At 47.3% G+C, this 11,791-nt stretch overlaps 1 protein-coding gene across 10 annotated transcripts in view, besides 3 other annotated features; it reads right to left on the reverse strand.

Annotated features, from left to right (window-relative positions):
* C12orf43 (chromosome 12 open reading frame 43) overlaps positions 1-11,557 on the reverse strand; it is a 16,002-nt gene extending 4,445 nt beyond the window's left edge. For 2 of the 10 annotated variants that reach the window (NM_001286196.2, NM_001286195.2), the window contains exons 1-5: positions 11,400-11,557; positions 6,174-6,216; positions 5,898-5,996; positions 1,391-1,464; positions 73-130 (exon numbers count right to left, since the gene is read on the reverse strand). In NM_001286196.2, coding sequence (NP_001273125.1) covers positions 73-130; positions 1,391-1,464; positions 5,898-5,996; positions 6,174-6,216; positions 11,400-11,544 — 419 coding nt within the window. In that variant the 5' untranslated portion in view covers positions 11,545-11,557. Of the gene's footprint in view, positions 1-72; positions 164-1,390; positions 1,465-5,887; positions 5,997-6,080; positions 6,217-7,499; positions 7,757-11,328 lie in introns of those variants that run through there. The other 8 variants (NM_022895.3, NM_001286192.2, NM_001286198.2 and 5 more) reach the window with 7 other exon arrangements.
* Positions 10,736-11,251: an enhancer, noted in NCBI's record as "H3K27ac hESC enhancer chr12:121453469-121453984 (GRCh37/hg19 assembly coordinates)". NCBI's record gives its function as "activates a minimal SCP1, AML or CMV promoter by ChIP-STARR-seq in primed H9 embryonic stem cells {active_cell/tissue: H9 hESC(primed)}" and the evidence as "EXISTENCE:reporter gene assay evidence [ECO:0000049][PMID:30033119]".
* Positions 11,223-11,732: an enhancer, noted in NCBI's record as "active region_7152". NCBI's record gives its function as "activates an Ori minimal core promoter by ATAC-STARR-seq in GM12878 lymphoblastoid cells {active_cell/tissue: GM12878}" and the evidence as "EXISTENCE:reporter gene assay evidence [ECO:0000049][PMID:35858748]".
* Positions 11,460-11,653: a silencer, noted in NCBI's record as "fragment chr12:121454193-121454386 (GRCh37/hg19 assembly coordinates)". NCBI's record gives its function as "represses an EF-1alpha promoter that drives an FKBP-Casp9 reporter gene in an ReSE screen in K562 erythroleukemia cells {active_cell/tissue: K562}" and the evidence as "EXISTENCE:reporter gene assay evidence [ECO:0000049][PMID:32094911]".

Here is an 11,791-nt window from a genome sequence, read left to right on the forward strand (position 1 = left end):
TATTCCAGGGAACCCACCAAGACAGAAGAGGAGAAAAAAGGAGGGGACGTGAGGAGAGGTGTGAGTTCTCACCTGGAGCTGGAGGGCTGTCGCTTTCGGCGGGGTTGGGGAGACTCTTCCTTCTCACGGCCTCCAGGGACAGATGTGAAGAAAAGGCGGAAACCTAAGATTCAATGGGGCAGAGTCAAACAAAAACAAAACAAAACAAAAAGAAACATAAAAAAATAAAAAATAAAGAAACAAAAAAGAAAAAAATTTTAAAAAGGAAAACGAAAGAAAGAAAAGATAAAGAGAAACAAAAAAAAAATTTTAAGAAGACACAAAATAAAAAAATTTAAAAAAGAAACAATAACAAAAAAACCCAACCAAGCAAACAAACAAAAAAAACAAAGGAGCAGAGTCAGCACCCCCAGATGCCAGCCCCTCCTCCCAGGTGCCAGGTGCTGAAGCTGCCCCGCCTCTGCCCTCAGGAGCTCCTGGTCCAGAGGCAAAGACCCAGGAATCAGTCGTCTAACTACAAAGTGATTCTGCATCTGCCAAGGGTCATGCTGATGCCTGATGGAGCCAGTGGAGGGCGCGCTGGAGCAGGAGCCAGCAGCCACATCAGCTCAGCAAGCCCTCAGAGGCTTCTGGAAGTCAGCACTTGAGCTCCTGACCTAAGGCAGCCTTCAAAGTGGCAAATGTGTTGGTACAGGACAGACGCAGATGGGCGAGGCTGTGGAGGGCAGCAGTAAAGTGCTCCTGCTCAGGGTGACACAGACGAGGCCGCCTCAGGCAAATGACTTCGTTTCTCAGGGCCTCAGTCTCCTTGTCTGTACATGGGGTTCAATCATAATACCTGCCTCACCACAGGGGCTGAGCAGATGAAAGAATGGTGAGGTGGCCCATGCCTGTAACCCCAGTACTTTGGTAGTCTGAGGCGGGAGGATAGCTTGAGGCCAGGAGTTTAAGACCAGCCTGGGCAACATGACAGAACCCTGTCTCTAAAAAAAAATACAAAAATTAGCCAGGTGTGGTGGTGCACGCCTGTAGTCCCAGAACTTTGGAAGGCTAAGGTGGGCAGATGGCTTGAGGCCAGGAGTTCAAGACCAGCCTGGGCAACATAGCGAGATCCTGTCTCTAAAAAACATAAATAATTAGCCAGGGGTGGTGGTGTGTGTCTGTGGTCCCAGCTACTCAGGAAGCTGAGGTGGGAGGACTGCTTGGGTCCGGGAGGTTGAGGCTGCATTGAGCTATAATTGCTCCACTGCACTCCAGCCTAGGTGGCAGAGAGAGTTCCTATCTCAAAAAAAGAAAAAAAAAAAAGAATATACCAAAACTGTTTCGCCCACCTCCAGACACACATTAGGTGCTTAATAAATGATAGCTTCTATTAAGTATAACCACTCACCATCATCCTCCAAAGCGACTTTCTGTACCTTAGCTTTTGCTGGCTCCTTTGCTGCTTCTGAGATGGTAATGAAGCTACAGGGAGACGAGACGGTTGATTTAAGATGAGATTTTTGGATAACGACAAAAACAAAATTCTTTTTCAAGTGGAGGGGATGGGGTATGTGATTGTAAATGCAAAAGCGAAAGCGTGCTGGCCTAGTAAGAGGGCTGATGGTCTGGTTATAACATGCTGACCAGCCTCTGCCACGCGAACTGCAGTGCTTCATTTCTTTAAAGCCCACTTTATTCCAGTAAGTGTTGAAGAAGTTTTAAAGACATAGTAAAACAAGATGAGGCCAGGCATGGTGGCTCACGCCTGTAATCCTAGCACTTTGGGAGGCCAAGGCAGGCAGATCATGAGGCCAGGAGATCGAGACCATTCTGGCTAACACGGTGAAACCCCATCTCTACTAAAAATACAAAAAATTAGCCGGGCATGGTGGCGGGCGCCTGTAGTCCCAGCTACTCGGGAGGCTGAGGCAGGAGAATGGCGTGAACCTGGGAGGCGGAGCTTGCAGTGAACTGAGACTGCGCCACTGCACTCCAGCCTGGGTGACAGAGCAAGACTCCATCTCCAAAAAAAGAAAAGAATTTAACAAAATGAATGCAATTTCAAATAGGACAAAGAGATATAAGGGCAAGAGGAACAGAAAGACCTAGAAGTGTAGTCAGGAAGTCCTATACACTTGTTAGAGAGAGGGCATACATTTTGCTCTGAGCTTCCTAGCAGCAAGCATGAAAAGGGAAATATGACCAATCTAGAAAACTGGTTCAGAGGACAGCTTCTGGAGCAGGGCAGACCTGTTTTTAAATTTTTTTTTTTAATTAAAAGAAATTGGAGATAATTGTAGACATGCAGTAGCAACAAATAATGCAGATGTTCCATAGACCCTCCATCCATTTTCTCGCAATGGTAACATTGTGCCTCGCTATAGTACAACATCACAACTAGGAAATGCAAATTGATCCAATTCATGGACCTCATTCAGACTTCAGAGACCTGGGTTTTGAATCCCGGTTTTGTCACTTATTAGCTATGTCCCTTAAGCAAATGACTTTATCTCTCTGAGTCTCTGTTATCCACCTGTGCAGTGGGAACGATGAAGGTCCCTACCTCTTAAGGTTGTCACAAGGATTGAAGGGGAAAATGGATATCAAGCACTTGTGGCACACGGCCTAGCCACAAGTAGCTGCTCAGCAAATGGTAGCTATGATGACGATGCAGATGATGACTGTCATCAAGAAAAGCTTCAGCCTTCACAGGCTCTCTAACATAAAAATAAACCACATTTCTCTAGAGGCACAAGGCCAGGAAGCATGTGTCTGGTGAGTGCAGATGGAGATGCCACTGTGCACAGCAGAGAACAAGGCTCTCAGCAATGCCCTCGAGGCAGACGCAGCAATGCCCTGGGTGCTTTCCCTAACCTCCCTTCCTGTATGCCAAAGGTGCCCCCCAAGCCCTGTTCAGGAAAAGCAACCCGGGGAGAGGGAGTAGAGATGATGCCACCCAGGCACCTGTTCTTGACCCCACACAGTGGTTCAATGGTGGCCATCAGGGGCATTTGGCAATGTCTGGAGACATTTTTGGATGTCACAACTGGTGGGGTGAGTGCTACTATCATCTAGTAGGTAGAGGCCAGGGATGTTGGTAAACATCCTATAATGGGAAGAAGAAGGATAGACCCCCACGACAAATGCTAGTCAAAGATGTCAGTAGCGCCAAGGTTGAGAGACACTGACCTAACACTAGGGACCAAATGCAGTATCATTTACATTTCCTTTTTTTTTTTTGAGATGGGATCTCACTCTGTCACCCAGGCTGGAGTGCAGTGGCACGATCTCAGCTCACTGCAACCTCTGCATCCTGGGTTCAAACGATTCTCCTACCTCAGCCTCCCAAGTAGCTGGGATAACAGGTGCACGCCACCATGCCCAGCTAATTTTTGCATTTTTAGTAGAGATGGGGTCTCACCATGTTGGCCAGGCTGGTCTCGAACTCCTGTCCTCAAATGATCCACCCGCTTCAGCCTCCCAAAGTGCTGGGATCAGAGGCATGAGCTGCCACGCCTGGCCTAAGGTATCATTTAGATTTCTTTGGAGAAACATGAAAATGCTGCAGGGAATATTCTAACCATGGCTGACTGGCATTTCTACTGCAGAAACATCTCTGTGACTCAGTGCAATGCCAAGCAGGCCCTGTTCAGCCTGAAGCCAGAGAGTCACAAAGGAAAACTGCTCCCACAGGCTGAAATGCAGCTGCCTTCCTAAACACCTCCTCTACTTTCTCCAATTGAGGGGAACCCTGTGGGATTCAGGCTGCGGGGCTCTGGCCCATCATTCTGTCTCAGAAGAATAGCTGGTTCACACTTTGGGAAGGCTCATTTGTCCTTTTTGATATCTACTTTGAATGGAATGACAATGGCCCCAAATCCTGCCTCATCTCCCTTTCAAAACCCTGCCAGGGCTCTGCCAGTCAGGAACAGATCTAGACCAGTGTATCCCCAGACCTGTTCCGCAGGTTGTTGACTGGTTTTCCATGAAACAAAGGCACTGTGGCCAAACAAGTTTGGAAAATGCTGGGCTAAACAGTTACACAGGTCTCTTCACTACAGGAATTCTCAGAGCCTTGAATATACTACTCTGGCTTGCAGTCTGCAAGGACACGTGGAGGTATGTAGATTGCAGTGTTTCTCACGCTTCTTTGCTGTTGGACCTCCTTTTTTCTAAAGCCACGCTTTGGGCTAGTGCTAGAATCCAAATGTTTGTGTCCTCCCCAAATTCTTATGGTGAAATCCTCACCCCAGCTGGGCATGGTGCCTTACACCTGCAATCCCAGCACTCTGGGAGGCCGAGCCGGTGGATCACTTGAAGTCAGGAGTTCGAGACCAGCCTGGCCAACATAATGAAAACCCATTTCTACTGAAAATACAAAAAATACAAAAAATTAGCCAAGCGTGGTGGGTGCGCACCTGTAACCCCAGCTACTCAGGAGGCTGAGGCATGAAAATCGCTTGAACCCAGGAACTGGAGGTTGTTGTGAGCCGAGATCACGCCACTGTGCTCCAGAGGGAGACTCTGTCTCCAAAAAGAGAAAAGAAAAAGAGAAATCCTCAACCCAAGGTATTAGGATTAGGAGATGGGGGCCTTTGAGAGGTGATTAGGTCGGGAGGGTGGAGCCTTGATGAATGAAATTGCTGCTCCTATAAAAAAGGTCTGAGAGAGACCCCTCGCCCATGCCACTATGTGAGGACACAGTAGGAAGGCGCCATCTGTACTGGGAAGAGGGCTCTCCCCAGACACTGAATCTGCTGGTGCCTTGATCTTGGACTTCTCAGCCTCCAAAATGTGAGAAATACATTTATTTTGTTTATAAGCTACCCAGTTTATGTTATTTTGTTATAGCAGCCCATATGGACTCAAACAGGTTGTATCCTTGACACCTACTTTAGGAATGCCAACCTGAATCCTTACCGACTGGGTTATCAACCTGTGCTGAGAATGTAAGATAGAGACCTGGCACAGTGTCTAGCATACAGAAGGCACCCAAGAAATAGGAACACGGTCCTTCCTTGCCCTCTTGTGGCGGGAATGAGCTTCTCGATGTTCCTCTCTTACTCTCATGGTTGCAGGATAATGCAGGGGTTAAGAACATGGGCTTGGCCCGGCACAGTGGCTCACGCTTGTAATCCCAGCACTTTGGGAGGCCAAGGCAGGTGGATCACTCGAGGTCAGGAGTTCGAGATCAGCCTGGTCAACACGGTGAAACCCCGTCTCTACTAAAAATACAAAAATTAGCCTGGTATGGTGGCAGGTGCCCGTTAAGTCCAGCTACTTGGGAGGCTGAGGCATGAGAATCGCTTGAATCCAGGAGGTGGAGGCTGCAGTGAGCCAAGATTGTGCGTGCCACTGCACGCCAGCATGGGCGACAGAGTGAGACTCTGTCTCAAAAAACAAAACAAAACAAAAAAATGTGGGCTTGGAGTCAGACGCACTTGGGTTTGAGGCCCAATTCTGTTCCCTCCTGGGTTCTGAATCCTGGCTTTGTCACTTAATAGCGGTGTCCCCTGGGCAAATGACTTTGCCTCTCTGAGCCTCAGTTACCCATCTGTACAGTGGGAATGATAACAGTCCCTACCTCTCAGGGTCATCAGAAGGATTAAATGAGAAAATGGACATCAAGCACTTAGCACAGAGCCTGGCCACAAACAGTTGCTCAGTAAATGGTAGCTGCGATGATGATGTGACTTCAGGCACACCTGTCTCCTTGCTGACAGCCTGTTTCCTCACCTGGAGGATAAAGGTAACAACAGGACCCACATGATAATGTTCTTTATAAATGCAGGGAGATGACATATGCCAGGTGCCTGCCACCGTGCCAGCCTGGACACCGTGAGCTCCCAGCCAATGTGAGCCATTGCTGTTCATATTAACAAGGGCAAGAGAGGAGAAACTCCACCTTTGTTTACCTGTCCAGCAGGGCTCCCAGCTTCTTGGCTACGTGGGCTCGGAATTCAGGGGTGGTCTGAAGCTCGTTGCCATCTTGTTCATGCTCATTCACCTTATGCCTACGACACACACAAAGAGACCTCACTTCCTGCCCGCTCAGAAGCTGTCCCCATGAGCACAGGGACCATGTGTGTCTTGTTCACCTGGAAATGCCAGGCGTGAAGCCTAGCATCTGGCACACGCAGGGGATCAGTATTTGTTGAATAAGTGAAACTTGAACCCAAAGTGCATAGTACCTGAGGCTCGGTTGGGAGGTTGACAACTGGCTATTTGCAGCACCTGTGGAAAAATGAAAATTAGGGCATTTATAGAGGAAACAATGACAGCAACAACAAATGCGTGCCAGGCACTATTTTCAGCAGCTTAAAATACATATAACTCATATATATACATACACATGTAACTCATATATATTATATTTATATATAACTTAAAATAGTTATATACCCATAACTTCAAATAGTTACATATAATTTAGTTATATATGTATATAATATAGTTACATATTTTATGTAAGTACATTATATATATATATATCTTAGTTATATAACTTAAAATATATATATAACTTAGTTATATATATAAAACTTAAAATAGTTATATATATAACTTAGTTATATATACATAAAACTTAAAATAGTTATATATGTAACTTAAAATATATATAACACATATAACTCAGTGAATCTTCCCAACAACCCGATTGGAGGGATTACAATTATCCCATTTTGCAGAAGAAACGTCAAAGATATGTAAAATAACTTGGCCAGAGTCAAATACCTAATAAGTGACAGGGTTGGGCTGGGGGCCCAGGCCATCTGACTCCTGAGCCCCCTCTTAACCACCACGCTGTGCTGAACAGGCAGGTCTAAGTGTGATTTGACTGCACAGTTTAATGCCTGCCTGGCTGTGTGCTAAGTGCCGTGGAAGAGAGAGAAGATGGCTCTTTTGTGGATCACATTTTTCAAGCCAAAACGGTGGGGATGCCCGGCCTTTTGGTCATTCCCTCAAACCAGATACTGAATGCCTTTTATTAACCAGGTGTTGTCATTGCTGAGCAACTTACTCGACTATCACTGTCTGCAGGAGCTTACATTCTAGTTGGTGGAGAGAGATGATAAACACACATACGTAAACAAAATGTCAAGTTGGATAATGCTAAGTGTATGGAAAAAAACGGAAACAAAGTAGGCGAGAGAGGTGGGGAGTGTTGGGCTGGGGATTGTTAACATAAAGGTGGGCAGAGAGGGCTTCACTGATAAGGCAACATTTGAACAGAGATTTGAGAGAGGAGAGGGAGTGAACCAAGTGGACATGTGGGACACAGCCTTCCAGGCAGAGGGAAAGCATCTGCAAAGGCCCTGAGACTGGAGCCTGCTTTGTGTGTTTAGAACCAGCAAGGAGGTCAGTGTGACCAGAGCCTGCCCAGTAAACCGGGAGCAGCAGAGATGGAGAACTCAGAGGGGCCAGATCATGAAGGGCCCTGACGTGGGCCAATGGGAGGACCTGGACTTTGAGGAGGAGGAGCTCTGGAAATGAGCAGAGAAGGGACATAAACTGACCTGGGTTTTGACAGAACATCTTTGGCTGCTGTGCAGCGTGAGACTGTTGGGGCAAAGGCAGGAACACGGAGTCTGCTGCAGTAATTGATGTGGTGAGAAGTGGGTGAACTCCAGATAGATGCACTTTTAAGATGGAGTCAAGGCCGGGCGCGGTGGCTCACGCCTGTAATCCCAGCACTTTGGGAGGCTGAGGCAGGCGGATCACGAGGTCAAGAGATCGAGACCATCCTGGTCAACATGGTGAAACCCCATCTCTACTAAAAAATACAAAAATTAGCTGGGTGTGGTGGTGCACACCTGTAGTCCCAGCTACTTGAGAAGCTGAGGCAGGAGAATCGCTCGAACCCAGGAGGCGGAGGTTGCAGTGAGCCAAGATCACGCCACTGCACTCCAGCCTGGTGACAGAGCAAGACTCCGTCTAAAAAAAAAAAAAAAAAAAAAAAAAGATGGAGTCAATAGGATTCACTGATGGACTGACTACAGGGCGTGAGAAATGAGTGAAAGTTAGCTCTGAGGTTTCTGACTTAACTAACAAGACAAAACGTGCTTGTATATTTAAGGGGCCAACTGAACAAAGTGGACACTTGGTAGCTCCGGGCCCAGTGGAGGGCCATGGTGTAAGAAACAGCTCCATGGGGGCACTGCTGTGTTTATGTCATCACCCATACACATTGCATCTGTGTCCTAGTACCTTGTGGTCTGTGTCACTGTACTCCAGAGCACAACACAGAATGCTAAACACGCCCCATGCTCCTGGAGGTGGGTAATGTGGGGGCCTGGATGGACAGTCTTTAAAGACCTGGTCTTTCGTCTTCAGCACATAATCACTTGGAAGAAGAGCATCTCTTCCATCATGACTACAGTGTGATGAAGGTGAGGTACCGTCAGGGAACAGAAACAGTATTACAGAGGGAGACAGTTCAGTTGAGTCCTGGCTCTGCCACCAAGCTGTGTGATGCCGGGCAAGTCACTTTCTCTCCCTGAGCCTTTGTTTTTCTCATCTATAAAATGGGAATACGATTACCAACCTTCTGGAGTCAGTGTTGTGGACGCTGTTTCCATACCCATCCCCTTCCTGGATTTGTAAGCTACTTGAATACGTGGTCTGCCTCTTTTTACCTCTGTATCCCCAGATCCTGCCATAGTGTCTTGGTTTGAATTAATTGTCAGAAAAATAAGTCAAAGTAGATGCTACCCTAAAATTAAAGTGGTTTGAGTGACGAGTTCATCACTGGATTTAAGAGCTGTCTCTAGAGGTTACATAAATAAAATAGTGACCTATATTTCCACAGTCATGGACCAAAGGGTGGGAGTTTTGACCACAATAGACACTTGTCCATGGCAGAGTGGCACAGCAGCAATGAAGAGCATGGACTTGGGAGTCAGGTAGGCCTGGGTTTACGCCTGGTTCTGCCACTCACAAATTGGACAACCTTGGCCAAGTTATTTTACCATTATGAGAATCAGTTTTCTGTAAAATGGGGCTAATACACCCTCTTGTGGCATTGCTGGGAAGATGAAAACAGACAACAAATACAAAGTGTTTAGAACAGGGGCAAAAAGAAAATTCTCAACTCCTGGTGGCTATTACTAGACGCACTCAAGAATGTAATCTAGGCTGGGTGTGGTGGCTCATGCCTGTAATCTCAGCACTTTGGGAGGCCAAGGTGGGCGGATCACCTGAGGTCATAAGTTCGAGACCAGCCTGGCCAACACGGTGAAACCCTGTCTCTAATAAAAATATAAAAAAAAATTAGCTGGGCCTGGTGGTGGGCACCTGTAATCCCAGCTACTTAGGAGGCTGAGGCAGGAGAATTGCTTGAGCTTGGGAGGCGGAGGTTGCAGGGAGCCAAGATCGCGCCATTGCACTCCAGCCTTGGTAACAGAGCGAGACTGCGTCTCAAAAAGAAAAAAAGAGACCAGGCGCGGTGGCTCACACCTGTAATCCCAGCACTTTGGAAGGCCGAGGCAGGTGGATTGCCTGAGGTCTGGAGTTTGAGACCAGCCTGGCCAACACGGTGAAACCCTGTCTGTACTAAAAATACAAAAAATTAGCTGGGCGTGGTGGCAGGCGCCTGTAATCCCAGCTACTAGGGAGGCTGAGGCAGGAGAATCACTTGAACCCAGGAGGCAGAGGTTGCAGTGAGCTGAGATCGTGCCATTGCACTGCAGCCTGGGCAACAAGAGTGAAACTCCATCTCAAAAAAAAAAAATGCAAAAAAAAAAAAAAAACCCCAAAAAACAAACAAACAAACAAAAAAAACTAGAAGCCGAGCACAGTGGCTCACACCTGTAATCTCAGCACTTTGAAGGTTGAGAAGGGAGGATCACTTGAGCCCAGGAGTTCGAGACCAGCCTGGGCAACATGGCAAAACCCCATCTCTACAAAAAATACAAAAAGTAGCTGGGACTATACATCTGTAGTCTCAGCTACTTGGGAGGCTGAGGTGGGAGGATCATCTGAGTAGGGGGAGGTCGAGGTTGCAGTGAGCCATGATTGTGTCAGCCTCGGTAACAGACTGAGTCCTAGTTTTGAAAAAAAAAAGAGCGAGAATTAGGCAGGAGGAGGAAAGCAGTCCATGTGGAAAGACCAACCACATATTTGCCACCATGTATTGGGCCTTTAAGATGTGCCAAGCACTGTAGATTGCATTATCTCAGTTACTTCTCAACCTTATGGGGTGGGTACTATCACTACCCGCACTGTACAGATGAGGAAATTTAGGTACAGTGAGATTTAAGTACTTTGCTCAAGTTCCCACCGCTAATGAGATGGAAAGGCAGATCTGTAAATAGAACTTGCAGAGAAAACTGTGGTTATGGTACTAGGGGGTGAGAGGGGCAGACTATGGTCTGGAAGCTACCTACAGGAAGTGCAGTATGGCAGGAGGGAAGGAAGGGAGAGGAAGGCAATGGATCACCAAAGGGCTTGTAAGTCCTTTTAAACAAATCCAGCGGTTCTTAACCTTGCTTTGCCATAGCCTTCTCTAACAGCCTGGTGAAGCCCGGTTCTCTTCTCAGAGCAATGTTTTAAATGCATGAAATGCAACATACAGGATTACAAAGAAAACCAATGATACCGAAATTTAATTATCATGATAGTAAACAACCAAACTTGTGATGTATGTGCTTCTTACATCTTAGATATAGAGATGGGTCTAAAAATTAGAGTGGCACATTTTAAATCAGGGATGAGTGTAAATGACTTTTTTCCCCAATATCTTTTTATCAATAAAATGATATATTGATATCTGTATCTGCAAAGATTGTAATGAGATATGAAAATCTGTGACTTCTGTTGGGATAAAGTAACGGCATTGCCAGAACTACTGTGGCTTAGTGCTTGCAAGACGGAAAGAGATGCTAAAATTCAGTCAGAGATGAATAGAAAGCAAAGATGCAACATGTTTTCATTCCAAATTCAAGAACCCTTGGGTTCTATCCATGATTAGGCCCCTTGATGTTGCGGGGCTCTGTATTTATTCCCAGGGCACTAGGGAGTCACGGTCAGAGTGATGTGCTGGGCACTGCTCTTGGCAACAACCTCCAGGGTGGGAGAATGTGTTGGAGGTGGGGAAAGGCTGGGTGCGAGAATACCGGGAGGGGGCTGTTGCAGTTATCTCGAAGAGACGGCAGCCTTCCCAGTGTGGGGCAGTGAGGATAGACCCAAGGAGGCAGAATCAAAAGACATTTGGGTACCTCAGCTTCCCCGACTGGAATAATGAAATACCCTCCCTACTGCACCTGCCCATGCTTTCAATCTGCACTACACCCAGTCCCTGGAGGTCTCTCGGGGAAGGAAGCCGAGTCCCAGTGACTCTCTCCTCACCATCCATCCTCTCAGGCTCCAGGGGAAGATCCCACGCCCCTCAGCCAGTCTCCCCAAACATAGTACCCTACCGGCTCTTGGCTTCCCTGCCACGTGCGGGCGTTGCTCCAAGCCCCAAGCCGGCATTGCCGCCTCGCGGCACCGCTCCAGCTCCTCCGCATCGCTACTGCTGTTACTACTTTCCGAATCGCTCACTGTGCCACTGGGCGCCGCCATCTTGAACCACCGCAAAGGATTGTGGAGAACACCGCCGTTATCAAGCCTCCTTCATGACGTCACGTGAGAGGAGAGGCGCGAGGCATTGTGGGGATTGTAGTTCCAAGACTTGGACCGCCATTGGCCATGAACTGTACTGGGTTGGGGATACCAGGTGGGAATGGGGAGGTGGGCGGTTCTCAAAGGCAAGAGCTAGAAGGGCCTAAGAGATTAACTTCTCCAATCATTTCTTGATGACAGATCTCCA

This window comes from Homo sapiens, chromosome 12 (assembly GCF_000001405.40).
Source record: "Homo sapiens chromosome 12, GRCh38.p14 Primary Assembly".
Taxonomy (NCBI): Eukaryota; Metazoa; Chordata; class Mammalia; order Primates; family Hominidae; genus Homo; species Homo sapiens.